The sequence below is a fragment of the Homo sapiens genome, chromosome 14 (assembly GCF_000001405.40).
Source record: "Homo sapiens chromosome 14, GRCh38.p14 Primary Assembly".
Lineage (NCBI taxonomy): Eukaryota > Metazoa > Chordata > Mammalia > Primates > Hominidae > Homo > Homo sapiens.
Genome location: NC_000014.9, coordinates 68,515,876 through 68,543,625, shown reverse-complemented (window position 1 = coordinate 68,543,625; position 27,750 = coordinate 68,515,876). Strand labels below are relative to the sequence as shown.

Below are 27,750 nucleotides of genomic sequence, written 5' to 3'. Positions count from 1 at the left end.
CACTGACTGCCCTTTTAGAAGACCTAGTTCCAACTCAAGACAAATCCTTCCATCTCATTAATTTGTATTTTTATATAATCTTTTATTTTAGATAAATCTTAGAAGTAAGCCATTTAATCTTGTACCCAACCGAAGAATTTTTCTCCACTTTTTTCCACCAGCAACATAATGATAATTCTTGATATTCAATAATATGTCTTTATTGAATCATTTCTATTTCCAGATTTCTAGCTTTTAGGGAATAGGAATAAAAGTGTTGACTTCAAAGAATTTAGTATTTTGGCAAAATGTGCTTGTAAACAGATAATCATGGAGAAAAAGCTAGGATGGCAGTAGTAGAAGAGTGACAGGTTCTCTAAGGCAGGGGTTGGCAAACTACAGCCCAAGGACCAAATCCAGCCCACTACCTATTTTTGTAAAGAAATTTTTTTTAGAACACAACCATGCTTATTTGTTTACATATTGCCTATGGCTGTTTTTGCACTACAATGATAAAATTGAGTAGTTGGCAGAGACAATATGGCTTGCAAAGCTTGAAATATTTACGACTGGCCTTTTACAGAAAGGTTGCTGACCTCTGCTCTAAGGGAATCAGACATCTTACGAAGATTTAACTTGGGTTAGAGAATGGGAGAAAGGCATTCCAGTTGGCTGGAAGAGTAAGCACAAAAGAATGGAGTTATTAAAGAATATTTCATGTTTAAAAAGCAATGGGATGTCTCCTTGGTATAAGACAGGGAACAATGGGAGATGAGGCTGGAAAGATGGGCTGAGTTTGGACAGAGAAGGACCCTGTAAGTCAAGGCTAATGGGTTTGAAATCCATCCTGTAGACATCTGGTCTCGAAATAGGATGCATGCCCCAGAGATACACAAGATGATCCATTAGAATTTAGAAGTCAGAAAGTACTAGAATTTGAACTTATTTTTTTCTAGGAAATAAAAAACATGGACTTACAACATTTGATATAAATATTGACAACGGGCTCCTCACAGCCATTGTTATGTGTCATGAATTGTTCATGAGATATCTTGTGGCAAGATTAGGACCTGCACATTGCAGAGGCGGCAAATGGTGTCCTCAGTCCTCACTCCCCTGGGGCTTTCAATGACATATGAATCACTACAATTTGCACATTCCTGACTCATTGGATTATGGATATTATCAAATTTAATCTAACACACACAAAATGGACAAGTGGATTAAAATATTCCTGCATGGAAACAATGGATCAAAGATAATATTAGTAGTATAAGCACAAGCAAATAATAAGAATAATAGCATTGACACTGCCCTTAGAACAAGTTTTCTTCGGCCATATTACAAAGTGAAGACAATGACCAAATATTTGCATGTAACAAGAAGTCAAGCCAAAACAGTTAGAAATTTCCATGAAAACTACTAGATATAAGGATTTATATCATTCAAATGATATAAATGGAACTCCCCTGACATATTTATTGTGCTTTTGACATATTAGCTAATGACAGTATGAAGCCATCATAATTGACAAGACATTTTAAACTATTGCTTACTTCATCTTTATCTCAGCCTTTAAAAAAATTACTTTTGTATATGTTTTATAATGTACATAATATATTAGGAAAGTAATACATGTGTATAATATAAAAAGAAATATATGTATATTGAGAGTACCTATTCAAAATTGTTTACTGATGGGGTGTTAAATCAAAAAAGTTTGGGAACCACTTCTATACAAAATAGAGGACCAATGGGGATCTCAATAAAAGAGGAGATGAGATGAGGCTTGTTTTGAGAAAGATCTCACAGGCTGCCTTGTAAAAGATAGACTCTTGCAGAGTGGCCATTTAAAGTCATTTTTAAGTGCCTGAAGATCTTGAAACAAAAGTTTTAAATACTAACAGCTGTTACTACAAATTCCACTTTGCCAGCTTTTTCTTCTTTAAGAAATGAATGGCTTCTTCAGGCCCAAACAAGGCCCCAAAGGATTGCACTGACAATACAGCTTTGCTACAAGCAGTTAGTTGGGTGACATGGGCAAATTTCAGGGATGAGAAAACATACCCAAGGAATACCGCATGCCATCTAGACTCAACTTTCCCCTCTGACCTGCATGAGTTTCCAAGGCAAAGTGGTCTTCAATCACGAGGGCTCCTTCCACTGTTTCAGCCAGAGGGGCCATTCCCCCTCCTGACAGGCATGATTAATTGATTCTGATGCACAGACACACTCTGTGAGGACTGTGCATATAAGATGTGCTTCTGGGAAGGACTATGGCATTTCTCCTGCTGGAAAGGGGCCAGGTAGGCTATTAGCCTGTTAGAGCCAGTTCTCCTTAGCCACCTATTCTTTGCCACAAAGAACCCAGTTGTCAGATTTGAAGAACTTAACCAATATCTGTCAAATCTTCAAGAAAAGAGGAGCCCGAACGGAGCTGAGCAGAGAAAGGATCTGCAGCCTCTCCCTGGTGATTGGCTTGGGCAGTCCCAGGAAGGCACCAGCACTGGTCTAGAGCCTAAACCTACACATCTGGAAACATCACAGAGGGCTTCCTTCTCTGTGCTCCATGAATGAGGGCATACCCTCTTCTTTTATGACTATCTTTTTCAAGAACTTGAAGGGGCAAAGTGAAAACAAAAACAAATGATAGCAATAACAACCACTTTTTATGGTCAAAGATGTATTATAGTTGTGGGTGAAGAAAGCATGCCCTGCCTCTCTTTCCAAACTTCACATCATCTGGCCCTACTCTTCAACTCAACCTTCTTCCCTACATGGAATCTTTATTCCAATAATGTCTGTTTCCTTCTCTCGAACACACCATCCAATTCCATTCTTTGCTCTTTGTTGAAATTCTACTCAACCTTGGAGTCCTCACAAGCTGTCATTTCTTCACAAAGTGTCCCTCACTACCCTTAAACCCACCCTCTCTTTCTTTTGGTTGGCTAGAGAGATTCACATTCAATTAGGGTCCCCTTGTGTGTTTCTCTAATTGTTTCAGGTCTCCCCAGGTGACTTTCTTTGGGTTGGGGGGTGTCATTATATACTTGCACAGCACCTAGAACCACGCTAAGCCCAGTTTTGCAAATACTTATTGTTTGATGATCCCACTAGTAGTACATGTTACCTAGAGAAATGAGGGAACAAGCTGAGCAATAAATAAGTCTCTCATTTCCACATGAAGAGTAAGATCTTGGGAAGGTGGCAAGTGAATCAAATTGAATAAGGGAGGGCTGAATAAGTCATATGTAATGACTTTCAGGGTTCATGTAAGTGGACCTTATCTCAATTGTCAAGGATTCGTAGCTAGAAGAGGTCTGATGATCCAACAGTGTTGTGGTGTGGTCTGCAGTAGAGTCCTAGGCTCTTGAACCTTGAACAGGGTGCAAGGAACTCAGACGATCCTATGTTTGCCTCGAGCAGATCATTTGAATTCTCTAGATCCTGTATTTAAAAAAAAAAAAAAAAAAAAAAAAAGGAGCAGGGTAGGATTCCCTCATGTCCTGGAGGCATTTGGAAGGGGCTGAGCATGGGCAGCTCTGTCCAGTGGCTTCTCTCTGTCCCTCTATTGCTTTGGTACAGCTGCTCACCGTGGATGCCAGCACAGAAATGCTCTTCTGAGGACACATCCTGCCAGGTTTATAGGCCCTAAAGGAGACACTGACACAGATGACCATCCTAACACTCTCTTACAGCACTGATAAAGAACAGCAAACACAGGAGCCAACAGCAGCCTGGAGGATACGGGACCGTTAGAGGCCACAGTTTAGCATCCTTTCACCCAGATGAGGAAGAAAAGTCCCTCCTTTCTCACCCCTTCCCCAAAATTAAAACAATGAAAATCAGTTCTCATTATCCCAATAATTAAGTCCCATTGAGCCAGCTGACAGCGGCCAAAGAATGATTTTTCTGTGCTGCACTGTGTGGCTGCCCTCCATGGCCCCATTCATGGGCCACTGTGTGCATTCAATCACCCTTAGCTGGGCCGAGCTAATGAAATGCTGGGGCCTTGCCCTGCCCTGACCCTGCTGCTATTTCTATCTGAGCTCAGCATGTCCTTTGCTTGACAGTTGCAACCGAACAAGCAGATTTTTCTCTCCCATCTATGGAGTGTAAAGAGCCTATTTTGGCAGCCTGTGGGGCTGGGGACCCCTCTGGAAACCCAGTGAATGCCCCTGGAGGTTAACGTGCAAAGCTGTTTTCCAGACTGAGAGGCAGGCGGAGGAGGGGGCGGAGTGCTGGCGACTTGGAGGCAAGGAGGCTGTGGCTGGGGGCTTTTCTGGGGCAGAAGGGGAAGATGAACCTGGAAGAAGCATGGGGCCATGAGGTGGGGCTGGCTGATCCATCCTGTTGCAAACCTGAACAAAAGCTCTTTGTCAGTTATCAAAAATCTCCCTCCCTCACTGGGGTCAAAGTGAGAAAATCCATTGCACTGGGTTTCCAGTTCGCATGGCATGGAGAAAGGGGGGATCCCTGTGGAGAGCAACTGCTCTCTTGAAGTTCCTAGCTGTTGTTTTAATGATTTCCCAAGATTCAGAAGTTAGGGAATAAGATGGCAAAATTATAGGCATTTATCCATACTAAAATGTAGGGATTTACACTTAGCTAATGGAGAAAAAAACTTTCTTTGAGGGAAGTTGTAGAAAAGAGGCAAAAACAATGTGTTAAATGTGATGGCATGGTGGCTTTATACAGAAAGGACATATCTAAAGAAGGATGTAAATCAAGGGTGACAAACTCAAATGCCCTCAGTGGCCAGAGAGATCAGAGGTTACCGAAATGAGAGAAGGGAAACAGGTGGGAACTGTGGCCAATCAGGAAACACTGGCCCAGCCCCACCCAGGGCAGGCTGATCCTGCTCAGCCCCAGCTCTTTTTCGCCATACAAGTAGGAAGGCCCATGATTTTCTGTAATTTTAAAAAAGAGAAATCAGAAATCTCTATTCTTATTCAAAATCTCCCAATTGTTAGTGTTAGAAACTAATTCAAGATGTTAAAAAAGAAAAAAAAAAAAAGCGGTGTGCTAGCCAAACAAACTATGTTGGCGTTCTGCAAGCCCACCCCTAACATTTGCAGGGCCTGGAGCAAGAGTACAAATGGAGGCCCCATATCATATGTCTAAATATTTAAAAGTATAAATCAAGCTCACTAACTGTTAAACAAAATATATTCTGTTTGCCTACAATGAAAAAATATGCCTTCCTAAAGACCTGGCAGCCAGGTGTGAGAATTCAGAGTCCTGGGACATCTTGGAGTTGCACACAGATACAGGGCAGCAGAGAAGAGCTGGCTCCTGGCCCCCGGCCCTCCCCTTCTCACCCCAGCTCCAGCCTGCACACCTGTGGGAGTCAAGCTCTGTCTATCCCCTGATTCCTCAAACAGCCTCCCCTTGGCTGTCCCTCTGGCTTAATGTTGCTCACATCAAAGGTGCAGAATGCCCTTAGGAGGACAGACTCAAATGGACTTGGTGACATTTGACAGGACTCTGGGAACCTGGGACCCAGAATGTGAGGTGTCTTGGCTCTTTGGCCCATGGGACTGGAAAGAGCCAGAGTTAGGCTCTTTGAAGCGTGGGTTCCAAGTCAGGGTCCCCTCCTAGCAAGACCTAAGTGTGTTACTGGCCCCAGTTTGAGATCGCTGACTTAAATAAACACCCAGAAATGAAGACATCTTGATGCTCAGCCTAGTTTTTTGACCACTTAGCTACATGACCTTGGGTAAATCATCATCTTTTCGTGAACCAGTTTCTACATAATTAAAATGGGGACAAAATACCTCTTCTAACCAATTCGTTTGAAAACTAAAATGAGATTACACATGGAAATATTTTAAACTAATAAATAAAGAAATGAAAAGGTCGATTAAGAAAAAAAAACTGCCATAGACACAAATTTTATCAAAGGGAGCATATATGTGAAGGTCTCACTCAAAATATCCCATTAATTGTCTTTTTAATCTCAAGATATGGGCTAAATCTAGAAGAACTAAAATGATAGTACTTTTCATTAAGGGTTTTTCCTCTTTTCCAACAATCCCTTAGGATGGGTCTCCTATCACACTGATCTTAAAAGGATATTGCAGAGGTAAATAAAACAAAAACAAAAATAAAATCTGTTTCAGTGATTCATGGCTCCTTTTTTTTTTTTGAGACGAAATCTTGCTCTGTCGCCCAGGCTGGAGTACAGTGGCGCGATCTCGGCTCACTGCAAGCTCCACCTCCTGGGTTCATGCCACTCTCCTGCCTCAGCCTCCCGAGTAGCTGGGACTACAGGCGCCCGCCACCACGACCAGCTAATTTTTTTGTATTTTTAGTAGAGACGGGGTTTCACCGTGTTAGCCAGGATGGTCTCAATCTCCTGGCCTCGTGATCCGCCCGCCTCGGCCTCCCAAAATGCTGGGATTACAGGCGTGAGCCACTGCGACTGGCCATGGTTCCTTTTTAAGAGCAACCCCCTTTAACCAACATTAAGGTAGGATCTCTATTCAGGGACATGTGCTATTATTGTGACAGTCATTCTAAAAATTTTGGGTGCCTTTTTTTTTTTTTTTTTTGAGACAGGACCTCACTCTGTCACCCAGGCTGGAGTGCAGTGGTGCAGTCATGGCTCACTGCATGGCTCACTGCAGCTTCTACCTCCCATGCTCAAGTGATCCTCCCACCTCAGCCTCCCGAGTAGCAGGAACTATAGATGCTCACCACCACACCCAGCTAATTTTTTCAATTTTTTTTTGTAGAGACAGCATCTCTGTTTCCAGGCTGGTCCTAAACTCCTGGGCTCAAGGGATCCGCCCGCCTCGGCCTCCCAAAGTGCTGGGATTACAGGCATGAGCCACTGCGACTGGCTGGGTCTCAATTTTTAATGAAAGAAAACCAATAGGAAAAGCAGCAAAAGGGGGGAAAAAGACTATTTAAAAGAGTAAGGAAATACTAAAAAATTTCCACAAGGATCTAAATCAATAACAAGACTGAACTTTTATTTTTGAAGACTTAAGGAAAATTAACTTCAAGCTGTAGAGGTAGACAGAATTTTACAAAGGATAACCTGAGCTACCAGGAAACATTTATGTGACAGTAAATTTAAGAGTTCCTTCCAAAGAAATAGAGTTTGATAGAGGTAATCATGCAAAAGCATGACTGGGCTGGTACTGAAAGGTATCCTTCCATTTAGACCAATGTAGGGCTCGGAAAGTACAGCTGGAGAAGAAATACAGTTTTACATATTCTTTTCTAAAAAAATTCAATCTGCTTTCTCAAGTTGAAATGTTTTATATATTCTTAAACATCCAGGGAGGGGTTGGGAATGGTGGCTGCCAGAGCACCTAGCACTCATCTCCCTTTCCTAATAACAATCTAATTTCCTTTTGGCGGATTATCTTTTCCCAGTAGGATACAGTCTGTGGATATTGCTGGCAATTAGGAGGTTTTTGACCCAAGTTGGGCCAATCAGATGCTCCCTTCAATGGAAGGTGAATTTTGAACAGAGGGACAAAAAGAATGGAGATGTCAGGAGTTTCATCCCATCCAAGTGGAGTGTCCTGACCAGACCTGTGGGACTCTTGTGAGCCTTGTGTTTCCTGCTTCCTAGTTTCTGGAATTTGCCTGCTTCTTACCCATTTCTAAGACTGCTTCTTCAGCCTTCCCTCAATCCTGTGGGACCTCTATATCCTTCTTTTAAACTCTGGCTTACATTAGCCAGAAGCATTTCTGTTGCATGCACCCAAAGAACCTCAGCACACACAACAATACCAGTGCACTGTGGGTCCTGATCTCTGGTCCAAACCTCCAAGTGCTCCTAGAGACCTTTCATGTGCCTGACCCTAGTGAGCATGTATCTCACTGAGAGTTAGGAGAGGCTTCACACAGAAATAGTGGTACTATCCCAGGCTTCCTCCATCCAGTTACACATACTCATTTTTTTCCTTGGTTTTCCTGAAATGTTGGAATGTTCCTTTACTTTTCCACTTCATAGTATGAGCTGTTCATAAAACAGCCAGCAGAATCCTAGCACTTCGGAGGGCGCTCCCAGATGATTTTTGTAGTTGGAATCTGTATGACAGTGAGTCAGCCTGGTGATCCTAAGGCCTGCTGTAAGCTCGACGTGTCACTATTCACATGCTTAGAAATTAGGTCCCAATGCACCTGACTGCCCTTAAGAGAAGTCAGTGGAAAAGAGTGGCAGGTTTGCCAGGTGTCGGAATGGGAATATGCAGAAACTAAAAATAATGAAGAAGGGCAATATGTGGGGGGTGAGGGGTGGGGGTGGGAAATAAAAAGATCTGGGAACTGACAGTAGAAGGTGCCTTGATCACAATCACAATAGGAGATGAACAAGAGTATAGGACATTAGAGGCAGCAAATGCCCTAGGCTAGCTTTTAGACTAACTTTTGAAATCAGTGTTCATATTTATTGTTTAACTTTTAACCTCAGTCTCCACTAGAGGTCTAGCCTCCTTGGTCTTTTACCATTACCTGGGCTTCTACTTTGAGATTGTTCTGTACATCCACCAACCATGAAAAGGTGAGGTAATTTGGAATTTAAGAATACAGAGGCTCCAGAACCAAACCAGAGCTAGAGTGTGTTTGAACTTTGGCTCTACAACTTGCTAGTCCCATGAACTTAGGCAAGCTACTTAACCTTTCTGTGCCTCAATGTTCTCATCTATAAAATGGGGAGAGTAATAATAATAATAATAACAATAATAATATATATAAAGCACTTACTAGTACCCTTGGCACATTAGTGCTCAATAAATATTAGCTACTATTAATCAATCAATCAACAAATATGTATTGAGCATCCACAATGTTCCAGGCACTGTTTTAGTTCTTGGGACAGATCAATGAACAAAATAGGCAAAGATCTCTACCCTTGTGGAATTTACAATCTAGGGGGGGTGGGAGCGGGAGGACAGATGATAAGGTATGTTGGTACTGCTATTAATATCTGACCCAATATCCACCCACTCCACTCAGCTTTCTGGAAATCCTCTAAATCTTTATCTTCTTCTTTGAACATTCTGTTCATCTTCGCGCCTTCACCAAAACCTGATTGGCCCTGAGGATGTGGTTTTTCCCCATAGCACCCAAAAGTGTGGTTGTTTTTTATCTCACTGTCCCATATCCCAGAGCCTGTAGATAGGGAAATGGGCTTCCTTGCTTTCCACTGCTACTTCCAAACCCTTTCTCCTCCTTTATCCTTTAAAAACCACAGCTATTTGGATGCTCATTCCTTCACATTATATAACCCTTCTCCCACTGAATTGCTGTCATCAATAACCTATTATTCATTTATTAAACACTTGAGCATACAACTCCTTCCTTTCACCCCTATTTTTGTCATCGTTCTTGGTGACTTTAACATCCTTGGTCTCTGAGTTCCTGACCTTCTCACTTCCAGTGATCTATTCTTCCACTTTCTTCAGCTACATTAAAATGGCCATAGCCTAGCCTTGTCATCACCACCTTTCAAGTCTAGATTTCAATTGTTATACGCCGACCACCATTTTCATCCTTCCAGCCAACCTTCTGTAGTATTTCTACTCCAATAATTTTTTGACCACTCAGTTAAGCTCACTTGCTTGTCTGTTTTTATTGTTTGTTTTGTTTTGCTTTGTTTTGTTCTATTTATCACCTCCTCGCATGTCCTTGTTTTCTCTTTACCCATGATCAATTCCATGGGCCACTGTTATAAACACTGCCTTACACGCCTTTGCCCCTCTCTCCTCGTGCCAAACTCTCCTAGAAAAATCTTCAAATTTGGTTAAACCCAGCTACTGGCTTAGGCTGAAACAGTCCTGAAGCAATTTAAGATTAATGGAGAAAGTAATTCCACTGAGTTGACTGATTACACTTTAAATCTATGACTGCAGTCCTCAAATGAGTACTCAACATTGCTCAGAAAGGCTACATTTTTTTTTCCATAGTAAAGTTTATTTTAACTTTTCTGAGGTCACTATTTATCTCTTCTCCCCTCAGACCTCCAATGATCATCCCCTCTCAACTGATGATCTCAGTTTATGTCTTACTGAGAAAACAGAAATAATCAGACAGAAACTCCCTCATCCCTCCACTGTGACATCTGTACAACTACTGGCATAGGAATTGTCTTCCTTCTCATTACAATGGAAGAAGTAGCTCTGTTTCTCTTAAAGGCAAACACCTCTACTTGTGCTTTGCATCCCATCCTCTCTTGATGTCTCCAGGACTTATTCCTAAGTCATCCACCTCTATTTTCTGCACAATCAACTTCTTTCACTCTACTGGATTATTCTCAACAGCAAACAAAGTGCTCAGGAATCTCCCATCTTTAAAAATCCTACTTTGATACATTCCCCTCCAGCTACAATCTCAGTCTCTGTCTCCCTTCCAATTAGTTTTACCTAGTGCCTAGAAAATGCTGTTGACTTTTGTATATGGATGTTGTATTCAGCAAACTCAATGAAATCTCTTATTATTTATAATAATTTTCCTATACAGTGGATTCAATGGATTTTCTGTGTAAATAATCATATTATCTTTAAAGAAAGATAGGTTTGTCTGTTTTTTTTTCAATTCTTATACCTCATTTCTCTTTCTTTTCTCATTGCACTGGTAGGACTTCCAGAATGATATTGAGTAATAAGGGTGATAGTAGGTATCATCTTTCTTCTGAAGTTTTATCATTGAGTGTGTTGTCTATAAAGGTATTGGTTATATGTTCTTTATCAAGTTAAGGAAGTTCCTGCCTATTCTTACTTTGCTAAGAGTTTATGTAATAAAGGGACTTTGAATTCTAGAAAATAATTTTTTTCTGCATCTATATTAAGACATGTCATCTCTGTTAATATTGTTAATATTTTATTTAGAAAAATTTCATCTATGTTTATAATGGATTAGTCTGTTCTTGTATTCTTAGGTTTGGTATCAAGTGCCTAATAAGATGAGTCACTTTCCCTTTTCTTCTACACTCTCAAACAGTTTGTGTAACATAAGGGTTAGCTGTTCTTGATAGGTTGGCCAAACATCCCAGAAATCCACCTATGCCCAATGTTTTTTGGGTAGAAGGCTCTGATTTGTGGTAGCAAGTCATTTCCTACATGGGTTATTGGTTGATTTGGATTTTCTAATTAATTATTCTTGATTCAACTTTCAAAATTTACTTTTCTAAAAAAATCATTAACTTCCTCTACTAGTATTAAGTTGTTCATAGATTTGCTCATTCTATTTTTTATGATTTTTTCATTCCAATTGTATCTATCATTATAAATTATGTTCTCTTTATAATTCTTAATATTATTTATTGCATTTTCTTTTTTTCTGGAGCAGCCCTGCTAGGGTTTTATCTATTTTACTAGTAATTTTGAATAATCAACTTCTGGATTTGTTCATTCTTTTGTTGTTGTTTCTTTTCCATTAATTTCTGATAGTTTTATTTTGCTCTGCTTTTTTTAGGCTTAATCTATTGTTCTCCTTGCTTCTAGATTTAAACACATCTTTTATTGAGTTTTAAAAATCAGATTCCACTGTGGTCAGAAAATATCTCTATAAGTTAACAATTCTTACAAATTTGTTGAGACCTTCCTTTGTGTGGCCTGTTATGTCAATTTATGTAAATGTTCAACATATTTTCAAAAAAGAACATATATTCTCTATTGTTGGACTTTGGTTTTTATTTGTTTTTGAGATAGGGTCTCTCTCTGTCACCCAGGTTGGAGGGCAGTGGCATGTCACCTTGTCTTACTGCAGCTTCAACCTCCCAGGCTCAAGCAATTCTCCCTCCTCAGCCTCCAGAATAGTCACCACATCTGGCTAATTTCTAAATTATTTTTCGTAGTGACAGGGTCTTCCTATCTCGTCTAGGCTGGTCTCAAACTCCTGAACTCAAGTGATTCTCCTGCCTCGGCCTCCCAAAGTGCTAGGATTATAAGTGTGAGCCACCATGCCTGGCCTATTGTTGGATTTTGAGTAAAGGATATATCAGTTTGTGGTTATATCTTTTATGTTTTTAATAAATTTCTGTAAAAATAAATTTAAATTTAACACAATTTTACATTTTTACATTTTCTTAGTTTTTGCTTTACATGTTTTGAATTTCAAGGTTATGTTTTTAGGGGCATATAGGTTCATGAATATTATCTTTTCTTATATCATTATATATCTCTCTATCCCTATTAACATATATTTCCCAAGATTCCATTTGCCTTACTGTGACACCACCCACCTTTCTTTTGGTTAGCATTTTGTGGTATGTCTTTTGTCATCTCTTTATTTGTGTGGTTTGGCCTAAGTGGGTCTTTTGAAAATAGCTTATAACTGAATACTTTAAAAATTCTAATCTGATATTCTCCAATTTTTAATAGACACATTTAATCAGCTTACATTTATTGTAGTTACCATCATATTTGACTTACTTCTTCCATTTTATTTAGTTTTCTATTTATTTTCTTTCTTTCTTATCTTCTCTTAGGTTTTTTTCTTCTTTCCTGTCTTCTTTCATTTTTTTTTTGTCTTTCCTGTCTTCTCTTAGGTTGGTGAGATTTTCTATATTCTGCTTTCTCCTTTGTTGGTTTAGAACCTATAGATTGATGTTCTTTTCTATTCATAATTACCTTAAAGTTTTACCATACACATTTAATTATATATGTTTCAAAGTCTGAAATTTTCAATATCTTATCCTCCTCCCTGAACAAGGCAAGACTCTTAGCACACTTTACCCAGTAAATACTCTTTCTACTAACATATTATCTCAACATATTACTTTTTTATTTAACTTTTATTTTAAACTCTAGATTTAGTTATTTTATAGTCAGTTGAAGTAAGTCTATTTTAACTTATTTATTTCTGTGTCCACTATAGTTTCTTGATTTCTATGTCCTGCCTTGAAACTGAGTTTTTCTTGATATAATACATATTTTAATGGTTCTTTCAGTGAAGACTCAAGACTGATATAAACTTCATTTTAAAAAAATCCTAAAACTGTCTTTCTTTTAAATCGGCTCTTGAAAGCTAGTTTAGCTAGGTATAAAACTCTGGCTTTACAAGTGATTTTTTTCCCCTTTCAGATATTTGAAGATACTACTCCACTGTCTGCTGGAATCTATTGTTAGTAAGATGTCTATTATCAATGCAGCTATCATTCCTTTATAAATAACTCTCTTTTCTCCCTGGTAACTTTGTTTTTTTCTTTCTTTATCTCTTTTTTTTTTTTTTTTTTTTTTTGAGACAGGGTCTTTCTCTGTTGCCCAGGCTGGAGTGTAGTAGCACAATCATGGCTCACTGTAGCCTTGACCTTCTGGGCTCCAGCAATCCTCCCATATCAGCCCTCGAAGAAGCTGGGACTATAGGTGCATGCCATTATGACTGGCATTTTTTTTTTAAATTTTTTGTAGAGATGGGGTCTCGCCACATTGCCCAGGCTAGTCTTGAACTCCTGGGCTCAAGAGATCCTCCTGCCTCTGCCTCCCAAAGTGCTGAGGTTACAAGTGTGAGCCACTGTGCCCAGCCACAACTTTTAATACTATCATTTTTATCCTTGAGGTAGATAGGTTTACTATCTCATATGTATGTATAAAAATTGGAGCTTCTCAGTATATCTTCATGCCCTTAACTCTGACTTGCACTACGTTTTGGTGGCTTCTTAAATACTATCTTCCTATTCACTAATTTTATCTTCATCTATTTCATGTCTAGAATTTATCCTATCTGTGTATTTTATCTTTTTAATTCATTCTTTTTCATATTTGCCAATTCTTATTTCTGCCTGCTTTATTTCACAATATCCTTTTTAAAGTAGATGTTATTTCTCTTTGAGTATTTAGGCAAATTTAGTTTAAAGTTTTAGTCAGATTGTTCCATTATTTTAATTTCTTTTGGACAAGATTAGATAACAAATGTTGATTTTGTTGACTGGTTTTCTTAGTGTTGAATATTTTTGCTTGGATACTAATTTAGAGAGTAAGGTCTTCTTTCTTCTTTCTCCTCATTTTCTTCTATCCTAGAGATTTTGTAGAGGTCTCTGGTTCAGAATCAAGTGATGATTTAAGATCTTTCCCAGCTATGGTGTTAGTGATCTCTCCCTTAGTAGTGAAAGCATCCTAGCTTCTGGTTGCTGGGCTGTGATTATTTCTCCTGCCTCCATAGACCTACAGTTTCCTATAAGAAATAGTCTCAGATATATCATCAGCAGCTGTTTTTCAACGTTCTTTCCTAGTAAGCTCCACCTTACAGATGACCTGAGGTCAAGAGTTCAAGACCAGCCTGGCCAACATGGCGAAACCCTGTCTGTACCAAAAAATACAAAAATTAGCCTGGCGTGGTGGCACGCGCCTGTAGTCCCAGCTGCTGGGGAGGCTGATGTGGGAGAATTGCCTGAACCTAGGAGGAGGAAGTTGCAGTGAGCCAAGATTGTGCCACTGCACTCCAGCCTGGGTGACAGAGTGAGATCCTGTCTCAAAAACAAAGAAAAAAAGAAAGCCCCACTTCAGTGTTTCATTTTTAGAAGTGAGTCTAACCCCAGTAATCCACTGCACTTGAAGCAATTTTAGTCCCTCTCATTCCACAGGAGCCTCTAGCTGTGCTTCTGGATTTAGAACTCAGTCAACCTGTGGCTTCAGCCTGGTTCACCATTTCAACATAACCCACCTAGAGAAAGAAAACCTGTATTTGATGAAACAGAATAGGGTTGTGAATTCCTTGGAGTTGGACGGACCAGGGTTTCTTCTGCAGACTTATCACTTACTAACTGAGAGACTGGGAGCAAGTTATCTAACTTGTTTGATTCTTAGTTTTCTTATTCTTCAGCTAGAAATGATAATACCTACCTCACAAAATTAATGAAATAACATTTAAAACTGTGCCTGACACCCAACAGATGCTCACAGGACATACTAGAATAAGTATTAAGTAACCCATTTTAAAAGGTAAATAATTCTGCAGTCCGCAGTCCGGCCTGGGCGACAGAGCGAGACTCCGTCTCAAAAAAAAAAAAAAAAAGGTAAATAATTAGTTCTGAACAAATCTATATTTGCCAGGATTTTTTTTCCCACTAAATATGGACCTTGACTCAGAGCTTTCTCTTTCTTGCTCTTCATGCCACCCTCCTGACATTTACTGGTCAAGATGTTTAGTAATATGAATTTTAACAGGCTGATCATGGGTTTTTACAAGAGATCAGATAAAACTTAATTTATTTATACTTTATGATTTATGTCCAACTTTTAAAGTGTACTTGAGGTAGTTTACAATGAAAGTCACATATGCAATAAGTTGGTTGAATAATAAAGGGAAAATTAAACCATAGAGGAAGAAGGGAAAATAATTATGCCCAAAATCTGAGTTAATTATTACTGTAATTGAGTATTAAATTTGTTTAAGGCTTCCTGGCAGCAAAAGGCAAAGAAAGAGGAAATATGATGAATGACATCATTCTCAATGGCTGAAGTTTTTCTATGAAACAGTGTAGCAAGGTTATGATGGGCTAGAAACCATGCAGGGATTATGCTCCATTCAGGATGTATGGTACGGAAGACTGGAGGGAATTCTTTACTGGTTGGTGCCAGCCTTTTCTCATGGCTTTAGCAACAGGTTGGACGACTGTGGTTTTAGATGGCTTAGTGCAATCTGACTGGAGCCCACAAACTGAGATGGAAGACTTTTAAAAAAAATAATGTTTTAAAGTTTTTCAGTATAAAAAAATACACATTTACTAAAGAAAATTTGGAAAATTTGAAAGAGTATAAAGAAGAAAACACAAATATCCTTACAATTCCACTGCTCAGAAATAATCATTGTTAATATTTAGTAAACTTCCTTCCAGGCTTCTTTCTATGCATACTTTATGAGCTGACTTGTTGCAGTTCTTTCTGGCTCAATGATTCTACAAATTAGGTGGCCTTTGGCCCAAGTGGTTGTTGTGTTTAATAATAAAAATAGCTACTGCTCATATATTGTACATCTGATGTGCTCCAGACATTCTATTGGTGCATTATGTAGTCCCAGTCCTTCCAAGACCAACAGGCACAAGGAAGTTTTCCTATTTGCAGAGAGGTTATGTAATTTGTCTAAATCACATGGAGTGAAAGGAGCAGCAAAACACAAATCTGGGTGTGTCTGCACAGCATATTCTCTTTCTCCTACAATGTGCTACTTCTCTGAGACCCAGGGGTGCCCCTGATCCCTGCCACTTTGTTGTGACTCCTGGAAGTGGGAGTGCCAGAGTCTGACATCAGCTCAGTTGGTTCATGGGCCTCAAATGGCCAGCCCAGAAAACAGAAGGAGCTCGCTCCTCCCCTACTCTCTCTTTCCTTTTGTCCCCTTCCCCCACATCCCAGAGGTCAAGAAGCTAAACTGTCTAGGCTCCCAGGTTAGTTCAGGCAGCTGTTCAGATGGCTTTTACTTTGAAAAATACTGTAATTCAAACCTCTTTCATGGGGATAAGGTTAAGAAAAAGTCAAGAAACTCAGTTCCATTGTTTTCAGTCCCAACAATACCAAAGAGCATGTAGGCTTTTTCATTTTGTTTCGTTTTTTGTTTTGTTTTGGTCATCGTTATTATTGGGCTTTATAATTGAAACTTTGTGCGGATGTAACTTTCTTCTTTCCTGAGCTCCCCGTTCTGCCCAGAAACTTCTCTCTTGGGCAAGTCACAGACCAAAGAGTCTTGCAGCAGTCCCAAGCAGCCGCTAAGAGTCACAGATTCAGGCCGCACTGTTGTCAGGGCAGGCTGGCCACCACACCCAGAAGGGGAAGCCTGTTGTGAGTGGCCTCTGTCCAAAGCAAGCAGTGTCCCGTGTGCCAGGGGCCACTCCTGGCTGAAAATGAACTAGTTTTCTCCTCTCTCCTTTACCACTTTCGGGGACCTAAGAACTGAATCCAGAAGAACCAAGCGGCCTGAATGTCAGAGGCTCTTGGTGGGCCATGCAGTGGGCTGAGATCCTCTGAGCAGAGGTCTTCCATGCAGAGTGGTCTGCAGCAGTCTAGATGAATCAGGCTGGGTTGCCAGTGGGCGTGAGTCAGCAATAAGATGCCCTCTCCCCACTATACTTGCATAACTCTAAACACAGGCTTTGTCTTCCCTAACAATCACTCATCTGGCTGTGACACACTGGAGCCTGCTTCCTGGAGGACATGTTCATGGGAAAAATATTTTAAAAGAGGGTGTCCACACCTGAGCTTCAGCACTGTGTGCAACGGTAATTCATCTCAATTGCTGGACGTATAATACGGTCACATGTCGCTTAACGACACGTTCTGAGAAATATATCATTAGGTGGGTTTGTTGCTGTGGAAACATCGTCCAGTATACTTACACAACCTAGATGGTATAGTCTACTACACACCTAGGCTATATAGTCCTGTATGTGGTCAGTTGTTGACCAAAACATTGTTATGTGGCACATGACTATATGTGGCAAAGCACGAACAAGCTGGTTTTCCAAATGACTTGCCTCAAGATTTGGGACCCATTTAATAATAACAACGATAGAAACAACAGCAACAACAACAATGAACATTTTTATAGCACTGAACATGACCCAGACAGTTCACTAAGCACTTGACATATATTAACTCATGTATTTTCCCCATTTTACAGATAAGAAAACTGAGGCGCTATGATGGTAACCAACTTTCCCAATGTCACAGAGGTAGTAAGAACCTGAACCAGAGCCTCAGGAATTCCAATTTCTTAACCCAGCTCAGGAGTTTGACTTGGATGTTCATGTGATGGAATGGTGGAGGACAGAAGAAAATTGTAAATCACAAGTATTTCCCAGTTGATAACTTCTCAAACCCAAGAATGGCTCAGGTTGGCTCCCGGCACTTGGCATGTCATGGTTCTATCATGCTAATTCCATATGCCGGAGCTCATTGAAGTTGTGGCTGGCTATCTGGAAGGGGAGAAAAATCCCCCAGACCCTGTGCTGGCTGGAAGTGTTTGGCATTTGGGGCGAGTGTGGGTGTGAAAAGCAGCTTGTTGTAATGCTATAGGATGTCTGGACCACACTAAGGAGAGGCCCTGGCAACACTGCTAAGAAATGGAACATCACTCGTCAAGAAGAGACCCCATTGCAGGGAAACTCTGATGGCTGAAGTGCTCATATGCAGGTGGGGCTTAGCCAGGAGAACCATGAGAATTCCCAGATGGTCAGTGGGAAGGATGCTAAGGTGACCACCATGATTTTCACTTCCCAGCTCATGGGACAATGTCCTCCAGGTCCTATGACCTGAGGGTTGAAAACCCAGATAACTTTGAATTACTTTCTTATTGCTGTTGTAAAAGTTACCACTAATGGAATGGCTTAAAGCAAGGAAAATTTATCTTATAATTCTGGAGGCCAAAAGTCTGACATGGGTCTCACTGGGCTAAAATTAAGACATCTGGAAGGCGATGTTCCTTTCTAGAGGCTCTAGAGGAACATCCATTTGCTTGCCTTTTCCAGCTTCTAGAGGTGGCCCTCAGTCCTCGGCTTATGGCCCCTTCCATCTCCAAAGCTGATAATGGCCCATTGAGTCTTTCTTACATCGCTTTACTGACATTGAGTTTTCTGCCTCTCTCTTCCACATACTGGGACCCTTGTGATTATGCTTGGCCAAGGACAAGCTTTCTATCCCAAAGCCAACTGATTAGCACCTTTTTTGCTTCCTTAATTCTCCCTCACCATGTAACATATGCACAGGTTCAAAGGATCAGGACTTGGACGTCTTTGGGAGGCCATTACTCTGCCTATCACAGGCCACAGATGGAAAGGGTGGAAACCCCTATCACGAACATTCTTGGCCCAGTTGAGGGCCTGCTAAGCAGCTGGTGGTCTCTGCCACATGCTGGAGAGAAATCGTTGGAGACCTGCCTCAGAGAAAACACTGGAAATCACATAAATGGTTTTTAAAGAACTACAGCTACGTCCATCTTCTTGAGTCAAAAAACTCATTTCTGCTCCCTGTCAGAACCTAAAAAAGAACCATCCTGTGGGGTCAAATCATTGACACAGGCAGCCTGGAATCCTTCTGAACAGCGACTACAAGGGACAGTTTGTAGGAGAACGTGAGTTAACTCAGTTCTAAAATCTCAGAAGAACGCATCCAGAACATTCCTTCATCATGCATCTCGGATCTGTTAGGCACAACTTCAAAGCCAGCTCGAGCCTGTGGGTGTGTTTAGCCTGTGTGTTTCCCAGGGCAGCAGCGTAGAACTCACAATGTGCTTCTATTTCTTGGTCTTGAACCAACCCGTCAGGAGTGTGGAGGAGTAAGGGCCCTAATTTCAAGCCAGTCAGGGTTTACTCTGTCCATAGATTTATCTTTCATACTCTTCTCTGGCCATCTCTCAGTTTCAGTCTGTCCAGCCTGAAATGGTTTACTTTTTAAATTTTGTGCATGTTTTTATCTTTTTTATTTTTAAACTTTTGACATGCATAGCTCATTTGAGGATCGTGACAGCAGCTCTCTCTGTCGGTCGGTCAGGAGCAGTGCAGATGCCATGTGTGCCCTTGGGAAGGTGGCTTGACCTCTGTCTCAATGTCCTTGTCTGCAATATAAGGATAATTACAGCACCTGCCACCGAGGGATGACGTAAGGAGTGAGTGAACCATGCAAAGCCCTTAGAACAGTGTCTGGTACTTGGTAAAGCTGTGATACACCATAGCTGTTATTATTATCAAAAGATTAAATAAGACACAAACCTCTTTTACTGTCACAGAACTGGCCATTTTGATGCCACCAGACCATTGATATTCACTCCATTTTGAGCACGACAGACACATTCCTAAGCAATATGCTTCTTTGTTTTGCTTTATAGGAATACATTTGACCCTTGAACAACATGGACTTGAACTGCCTGGGTCTACTTATATGTAGGTTTTTGTTTTTTCAACCAAACACAGATAGAAAATACAGCACTTGCAGGATACAAAACCTTTGTGTATGGAGGACAACTTTCCCTATACTAAGGGGCAGTCCCCCACATACACCAAGAGGCATTCCTACAAATGCTTTTTCTTGTAGTGGAGGGTAGACATCAAAGCCCACTGTTGAGGGGGTAAATGATAGGCAGATGGAAAGCCGGGCACTTATGCCAGGGCCAAGAGAAAGCTCCTCTATCCAGTTTGGGTTAGGGATGTAAATAAGGCATAGTGGGTTCTCTCAGGGCTCTTTGGTGCTGGCTGTCTTCCTGATTCTCACCCAAACTCAAAAGGGAACCTCCCAGACAGTGCTACGTTGCCTTCACAGTGAATCAAATCCTGTTAATCCAAAAGGCCACCCCAGACATCACGAACAGATCTTGGCCAAGTCCATTCTAATCCAGCTTCAACCCCACCATGCCCCAACTCCACTTTCCACTCTGCGCCTTGTGGCAGTGTTGAATGTCAGGGAACTCTCCTTGGGGACTGTAAAAAAGCCCTCAGGCTTCCCATCCCAGGGCAGGGCCACTTGCTCTCCTCTGCCCTCATGCCTGGTATCCGCTTTCTACTCTCATCACAGCCTGCCTCTGAATTGCCAGCTTCTACCACCAAGCCTGGAAGAACTTCAGGGACCAAGAACCTTAACTCCAAATGGAACACAGGCCACAAAAATTCCTCAAATATGTACACCAAAACAAAAGGGTCCCCGGGGATTCACTTTATCTTACCAAGTTTCAGCTGAAGGGGAAGCATTCTAATGGCAAGTAAGAAAAGCTGTCAGAGAACTGTTTTGTTCAACATCAAATGCATTCCAGGCCTTATTTAATCAGGGAGCCCTCTTCACAGCTGATGCAGAGGTTGTTCCTGCAAATTGTTCCTGAGTCAGGGAGAGGAGCCTTGATTTTCAATGCAAAATAATGTTCTTTTGGCACAGGCAAAGTTGGTTGGCAGCTGGAGGTTTGGGGTGACCTCTGACCCTCTCCCACAGTTCCTCCCAAGTCCCACTGCACAAAACTAAGCCACCCTCAAATCCCAGGCTCTAATTGGCTCTTTGGTTTGTTTTGCTTTTCTCTTCTATCCAGAGCTTCAAAAGGCACTTCGATAATTGTTTGAGGCATGAAAAAGGCAGGTTTCAGCTTTCCTAACTGGAATGGAGGTAATTACTGTCTTCCACACACGAGCCGGTACATGCTTGAAATCAGATGGCTCTGGGTTGTTTTAGAAAGTGTAGCTGGGCCTCTGAGCCAGGAGAGGGAGGATTATGGAGCCTTCCAGCGGCTCCATTCCAGAGAGGGAGGAATTCAGACATCCCAGAAACGGTGAGGGTAACTTCCATATTTTTTTTGCAGTCTCTTCAATTCTGCCCAAGAGATTTGGCCTGAAAAGATTGTGCCTTCAACCTCATCCTGGAAATTCAGGTAGCATTTTTCGGTTTTCTCTCTCAGGAGACAGAAGCTGACACCCCACATGACTCCCATCTTGTCTGTAATCAGCAACCAGGGCTTTGACCTGCACTGTCCTCCTTTCCAGCAGCAGAAAGGGGTCAAACTGAGCCAGGTCTAGTAAGAGCTATCTCAGAGAACCAGAACACGGATTTGCTTTTGTTCTCTCAGGACAGCAAACCCAAGGGAGGGCAGACTCAGGCTCACATCCCACTCACACGGCCCTGAGTGTGGACTGGGAGCAAGACGCTGCTTCAAATTTCAGCCTGCCAGCTGTGTGTCCACAGGCAGCTAACAAACATCTCTCATCCAGCCACAGCCTCACCCAGAGAAGAGTAACCGACCCAACCTTATAGCGTTGCTGTGAAGTCAGTTAACATAGGGCTGAAGTTTGCTGTGAAGTCACAGCAACCCTATGTTATGGTTAACTTCATTTAACATAGGGTTAATGTAGGTTTAATATGAGGGGCTAACAATTACATATAAATGTTAGCTACTGTAATTGTCAGATGCATGGCCACTGGTGCCAAAGGAACCACTCTGAAAATTCTGGAGGTTTTCAAGACTCTGGGGATTCAGAAATGGAGGAAGAAAAGAAGCTGCTGCAGGAACAGTGCAGGGAAGCTAGAAGGGAACAGGGTGGCAGCCCCAGCTCAAAAGGTCTTCCCTCTCAAGGGCACCACCTGAAACGTATAAGGTTGCCTGAAATTCCACAGATTAGACATTTAGTTTTGCTTCTTTACAACAATATATCTCAAAGAGAACTGGCTGGTTAAACATTATTCATACATCTGTGTGAACTGGTTTATTTGCTCTCTTCCTAATACCTACACACTTAGAAACTCCAGGGAGCAAAGAGCTTGGGTCTGAGTTAGGGACTAGGAAAGGAACAGAAAGTAATAACTTAGAGTCATGAAGCACTGTCCAAGACATGGCCAGCTGTTCAGACTCTGAGAGCCCCAGTTCAATTCACTGGCTGGCCTGCAGACAGCCTGCCTGGCTCATGAGAAGGGAGGAGTGGGGAGTCAGGACCTGGAGGTCCTGAGGTGCTTTTCTGATGTTGGTACTTTCACGTTGCCCACTCATAAAATACCCTTTGTAAATGGCTTCTGGGACTCCCTCCTCTCTGGGAGTGCCTCCTTCGTGAGCTCTGCATATGGGTGGCCCAGAGAGCAGGCCCCAGCTGTTGCCTCTCCTCAGACATTCCATCCCTATGACCTCATCCAGGTGCGGGCTTGAGTCACCACTCCACTACAGACTCTCTTGATTTGGATATTCAGTTGCCTACTTGACATCTCCCTTTCAAGTACCTCAAACAAAACGCTCCATGTGCCCTTACCCCTACCCCCTGCCACCCAAAACAATCCAAACAAAAACTCCATCAGCCTGGTCTCCATGGACATGTTCTTGATGCAGTCAACCTTTCAGGACTATTGACGTTTCTCTTTGTACCTTGTACTTTTCTTTCACAGCCCTTAGGACAATGTATAATCACTTACTTATTTTCATATTGACTTGTGTAATACCTGTTTCCCAATAGACTGTAAAATTCATGAGAATGAGACCAGGTGGTTTGTCTCCTGTTCTTCCCCACACCCTAACTGGCACACAGTAGGTCCTCACTATGTATTTGTTGAATGGATAGTATTAAAGTGAAGATGGGTCCTAGGGTGAGGAAGAGTTTCTGGGCACAAAGAAAGGCCATGAAACCTGGCAAAAAATACATATGAGCTCATATCTTGTTTTCCTGAGGAGCTATTTGGTTTCTTCCTCCTCCTATTTGATGAAGTTATATGTTTAATTAAAGCCCTGAACAGTTAGAACAAATGTATAGGAAATGATCACATGATCATGAACTTAGCAAACAGCTACAAGCTTAACTGTCTAATATGGGGAGTGCCTAAATGATATGTATCAATATGGTTGACTCTCAGTTATCCATTCCAGTGGATAATCTAATAGCCAGTAATCTAATAGTTCATAATTTACTTGCCTATAATCCCATAAGTTTTACATGTGGCTTTGGATTATGTTTTGGAATTTGCACCAGGGTATGGGGGCTCTGATGGTTTAGGAATTCACAGTACTTTGAGCATATATGTCCTATGTCACTACCCCAGTTGCCCATTAAGGATTCCTCTGGGTTCCAACTGCATGTGGAAAAAATACTGCATTGTGCTTAGGAGGAAAGTGCATTGGTCTTTGTTTGTTTGTTTGTTTGTTTTGTTTTGGCTGTAAAAATTGGGGTCCAAACCCCAGCTCTTGCATTTACTAACTAGCTCTGTTTTCACACTACTTGTCCCCGTCTAAACCACTCCCTCAGGCAGGTGCAAAACAAGGCGAAAGCAGAGTTAAGCTCCTTATGAACTTTCTGTTTTACATCTAGGCAAAGAAACGTTCTCTCTTCTCCTTTTTTTCTCTTTTTCTTTCTGCCTTAGAAGACCTTCTCTTCCAGCTCAGTGGGATGAAGTCAACAAGGTCTTTGCTTTACAAAATCATGCCTGATTGGGAAAGATCCTGAAAATGTCTAGACAAATCTGAAAGAAAAATGCTGTCCTGGGCAATCTAATACAGAAAACTGACTCTGGGCTTTCCCTGGGCTCCACTGGTCCCACCAATGGTGCAAATGACGGTGACTTTCTCCACGTTCTACATACATCTGGGCATTTGCTCATGCTGTCTTGGGTCAAAGTCTCAAGTTGGAAAATGGATTCATCCTGAGATCCAAGGCAGAACCAGTCGTGTTGTCAGTGGGTAGCTGAGACCCCAAAATTCCCACCTCTTTTCCTGTCATGAAGTTTCTATCTCGAGAGAAAACAGCTGTCCATTCTTAGGCCAACTGGGACTGAAGCCAGCTGTTCCTTCCAGATGCCAAGAGTCAGATGCACGCCCACTCTTTTCTCCTATTCCCTAAGGCTGAAGTCTCAAACTTTATTGAATTTATTAATAACCTCAGGGACTTGCTAAAAAGCATTTCCCCAGGCTCTACCTCCAGAGAATCTGATTCAGTTAATTCAGGTTGGCCAGGAAATCTGCATGTTAAATAACAACCCTCCTGCCCCACCTCATTTCTGATCTCTAGGAAATTCCTATGTAATTGGTCTGAGAATCATACTTTGAGTGACAATAGCCACAGTGGAGGCACTGGTGTGCCGGTAAATGTTTAACAACTGGCTCTGGAGGTGGAAAAGCCTGGTTTGTAGCTTGCTGATTTCTGTGGTATAAATATTCCCACCTTGGTCAACTCAAGCTACAAATATGACATCATGATTGTGAAGTTGGGAAAAGGTTTGTGCAATCAGTTCTGATAAGCCCATAGTAACTGATTTCAGCATGCCCACTGGGTGGAAGTGGCCGGATGCCTCCAAATGCTGGTTCCTAGGCTCTGGCATAGAAGGGCCACTGTTTGGTCCAGAATGTCACATCCCCTAATTTTTTTTCCCTAAATCCTTCGTTTTTTGAATGGTTTGTTTTGGTTACTGGCTCTCGGAGACCTTGAGGGGTTCCAAGCCAGAGAACAAAGAAGGGGAAGAGAAGGAGCTCCAAGAAAGAAAATGCAATTAGTGTAGGATGTTGGCCTCAGCTACGCTGCTAACCTTGTTCAACCCAGCTTTCAGCAGGGAAGGGGTTTCAAACACCTGTCTCTGCCTTCATTTGATAAGCTTTCTGGTCAAGTCACATTAACCTGATCCTGCTGACCTGGAGAAGGATGAAAAGGCTGAGTGTCGGGGACCTGAGGGGATGAAAGTGGATGGGGGAGGCCTGGGGGGGGGGCTCATATGACCTGGGGTCACCATCGGCTTAAGGCTTCCCCTTTGTCTCCCTGCTCTGGCCCCATGTTTGAAGGTTCTGGTGATTTCCTCCCGCCCCCCGACTAGGCGAACAGATGTGGAAAGATCTCCAGTTCCCAGGGCTCAGGACACAACTGCCTGTTGTTTCCCGCCTGCAGACCGGGGCCTGCAGTCACAGGCAGAACAGCTACGCAATCACTTGCCAAAGAGCTGAGCCCAGTCAGGTGTGGGGTGCAAGCCTACTCTGCCTTTTGGGAGTGAGAGGATGTGTAAGCCTAGCTGAACAAGAATGGAAAACAACCATGTTCCCGCCCTGTTGTGCTCTAAGTTCACTGTGTAGGAATTCAGAGGCACTTTAGCAGAGGCAATGACTTGAGCTCTTCCACGGCAATACAATGCTCACAGGTGCCATGACCATTTGAACAAACGCTGCCTTCTGGGCCAGCTGCTTCTCTTGTCCCACACTGCAGGTACTGCCAACGTGAGAACTTTGCCCACTTCTAGACTGGAGTTGAGGGCACCCTGCTACTCTAAAAAGGATGTTTTCCTCAGCCCACTGAGCTTTCAGGGCTCACTAGATCAAGGCGGTAGAAGAGTTACAAAGGAAGGGGTGCAAGTGTTAGCTTCCTTATGTACCTTATTTATTCAACACTGATAGTTTCAGAAATGGCTTAGAGCCTAGCTTCCTCACCAATATCCATATACCTTTGACAAGTGGGACAAATAAAAGCATAAAAATATCTCCCTTAAATAAAACGCCTTTCTCATATCTAGTCCATCTACAAGAATAAGCTGATACCTAATGATATGTTTTCTAGTTTATGCAATAAATGGTGGTGATTACAATTTTGCACAAAGACCTGGTACATATACGTCTTAGCATGTAGCACATTTACCTGTAAATGCTACAAGTAGCAGAATGACAGCCATCTCCCTAAAGCACTGATTCTCCAAGTGAGGTCTGCAGTCCCCTGGGATCCCTGAGACCCTATCAGGGTGTCTGCAAGCTCAAAATTATTTTCATAATTTTGATAATATTTCATAATAATACCAAGATGTTATTTGCCTTCTTCACTGTGTTGACATCTGGGTAAAATTGCTGGTGCTAGACTATGCTGGCAGTCACGGCATTCTTCACTGCTACAAACTTACAGGGGGAATAAATGCCAGTTTCACCAAAGAATGTCCTAAATTAGACAGTAAAAATTATTAATTTTATAAAACCTTGCCCAAAAGGTACTTTTTCTCTCCTCCCCTCCTCTCCCCTCTCTGCCTCCCTTCCCCTTCCCCTTCCCTTTCCTTTCCTTCCCTTCCCTTCCCTTTCTTTTCTTTGTGTGATGACTTGGAAACAAAGTATCAAGCATTTCTGGTGCATCCTGAAGTATGATGGTCATCTGGAGGAAAAGCACTTGTGTGAGTGTCCTGAGTTGTGATCTGCACTAGTCACTTTCATGGAACACAATGTTTACTCAAAAGGACCAAATAACCATAGTTATTCAGATTTGGTTATTTGACAGGCATTTTCTCAAAAATGAACAAACTGAGCTCATCACTTCAAGAAAGACAATAATTAACAGTATTTTCTGCCAAAATAGAAGTATAAAGCAAAAATTAGAATTTTTAGAAACCTGTATCTGCCATAGTGAACTTAACACCTTCCCAACACTTACAGAGGTTTTTGATGAGATCAGTGATATTAACAAATAAGAACTTTTAGTTTTCATCAAGAAATATATCAAATTTGAAAAATCTGCATGACTTAGTGAAGCAATATTTTCCAAATGACCCATGCATATTATTTCAAAATCATGCATGAGCAAAAGATCTATTCAGAGTACAAGCCAGATAACTGAATTTTAACATAACTGAGCACAAAAAGTTCATTGATATAGTTTCAGATTCCACATTGCAACTAACCTTAGTAATCTACTATTGGTTGAGTTTTGGTATAATGTCAAAGAAGAATATTCACAATTATCTGAAAAGACTATTAAAATATTCCTCCCTTTTCCAACAAAATAACTACGTGAGGCTGGGTTTCCTTCGCATACTTTATCCAAAACAACATTATCACAGCTGATTGAATGCAGAAGCCGATATGAGAATCCAGCTGTCTTCTATTAAGCCGGACAGTCAAGAGATTTGCAAAAATGTAAAACACTGTCACTCTTCTCACTTGGATTTTTTAAAAAAGTTATTTTTATAATAAAATGTTATTTTTAACGTTTAAATGGATTAATGAATATATGCATTTTAATAAATTACTAAATGTTAATTTATTCATTAACAATGAATAAATATTAAATGAACAAATATTATTTTTGGTTTTAGTTTTTAATATGGTAAATTATTTAATTATCTATTGCTGTATAGCAAAGTATCCTAAAACCTAGTGGCTTAAAACAACAATAATCACTTGAGTTGCCAGCCTAAAGAAATGGGTCCAGCTTCCGGGCAGGGCGTGGTGGCTCACGCCCGTAATCCTAGCACTTTGGGAGGCCGAGGTGGGCGGACCACAAGGTCAGGAGATCGAGACCATCCTGGCTAACATGGTGAAACCCCGTCTCTACTAAAAATACAAAAAATTACCCGGGCATGGTGGTGGGTGCCTGTGGTCCCAGCTACTCGGGAGGCTGAGGCAGGAGAATGGCATGAACCTGGG

At 41.5% G+C, this 27,750-nt stretch overlaps 1 protein-coding gene and 1 long non-coding RNA gene across 10 annotated transcripts in view, besides 3 other annotated features; one reads left to right on the top strand and one right to left on the bottom strand.

The window, feature by feature from the left end:
- The window catches only part of RAD51B (RAD51 paralog B), an 863,318-nt gene that overhangs the window by 139,471 nt on the left and 696,097 nt on the right, over positions 1-27,750 (bottom strand). The window contains exon 11 of one of the 8 annotated variants that reach the window (NM_001321814.2): positions 1,291-3,426. The exons of 6 other annotated variants lie outside the window; for them this stretch is intronic. In NM_001321814.2, coding sequence (NP_001308743.1) covers positions 3,407-3,426 — 20 coding nt within the window. In that variant the 3' untranslated portion in view covers positions 1,291-3,406. Of the gene's footprint in view, positions 1-1,290; positions 3,427-27,750 lie in introns of those variants that run through there. One more of the 8 variants, NM_001321812.1, reaches the window with a different exon arrangement.
- Positions 3,632-4,192: an enhancer, noted in NCBI's record as "H3K4me1 hESC enhancer chr14:69006151-69006711 (GRCh37/hg19 assembly coordinates)". NCBI's record gives its function as "activates a minimal SCP1, AML or CMV promoter by ChIP-STARR-seq in naive H9 embryonic stem cells {active_cell/tissue: H9 hESC(naive)}" and the evidence as "EXISTENCE:reporter gene assay evidence [ECO:0000049][PMID:30033119]".
- On the top strand, positions 6,122-27,319 carry LOC124903334 (uncharacterized). 2 transcript variants are annotated; one of them, XR_007064223.1, is made up of 3 exons: positions 6,122-14,879; positions 14,954-21,011; positions 21,205-27,319. It is a non-coding gene; the product is annotated as an uncharacterized LOC124903334 (long non-coding RNA). The 2 variants fall into 2 exon arrangements; XR_007064222.1 differs by having other exon boundaries at positions 14,954-27,319.
- Positions 16,158-16,678: an enhancer, noted in NCBI's record as "H3K4me1 hESC enhancer chr14:68993665-68994185 (GRCh37/hg19 assembly coordinates)". NCBI's record gives its function as "activates a minimal SCP1, AML or CMV promoter by ChIP-STARR-seq in primed H9 embryonic stem cells {active_cell/tissue: H9 hESC(primed)}" and the evidence as "EXISTENCE:reporter gene assay evidence [ECO:0000049][PMID:30033119]".
- Positions 16,679-17,200: an enhancer, noted in NCBI's record as "H3K4me1 hESC enhancer chr14:68993143-68993664 (GRCh37/hg19 assembly coordinates)". NCBI's record gives its function as "activates a minimal SCP1, AML or CMV promoter by ChIP-STARR-seq in primed H9 embryonic stem cells {active_cell/tissue: H9 hESC(primed)}" and the evidence as "EXISTENCE:reporter gene assay evidence [ECO:0000049][PMID:30033119]".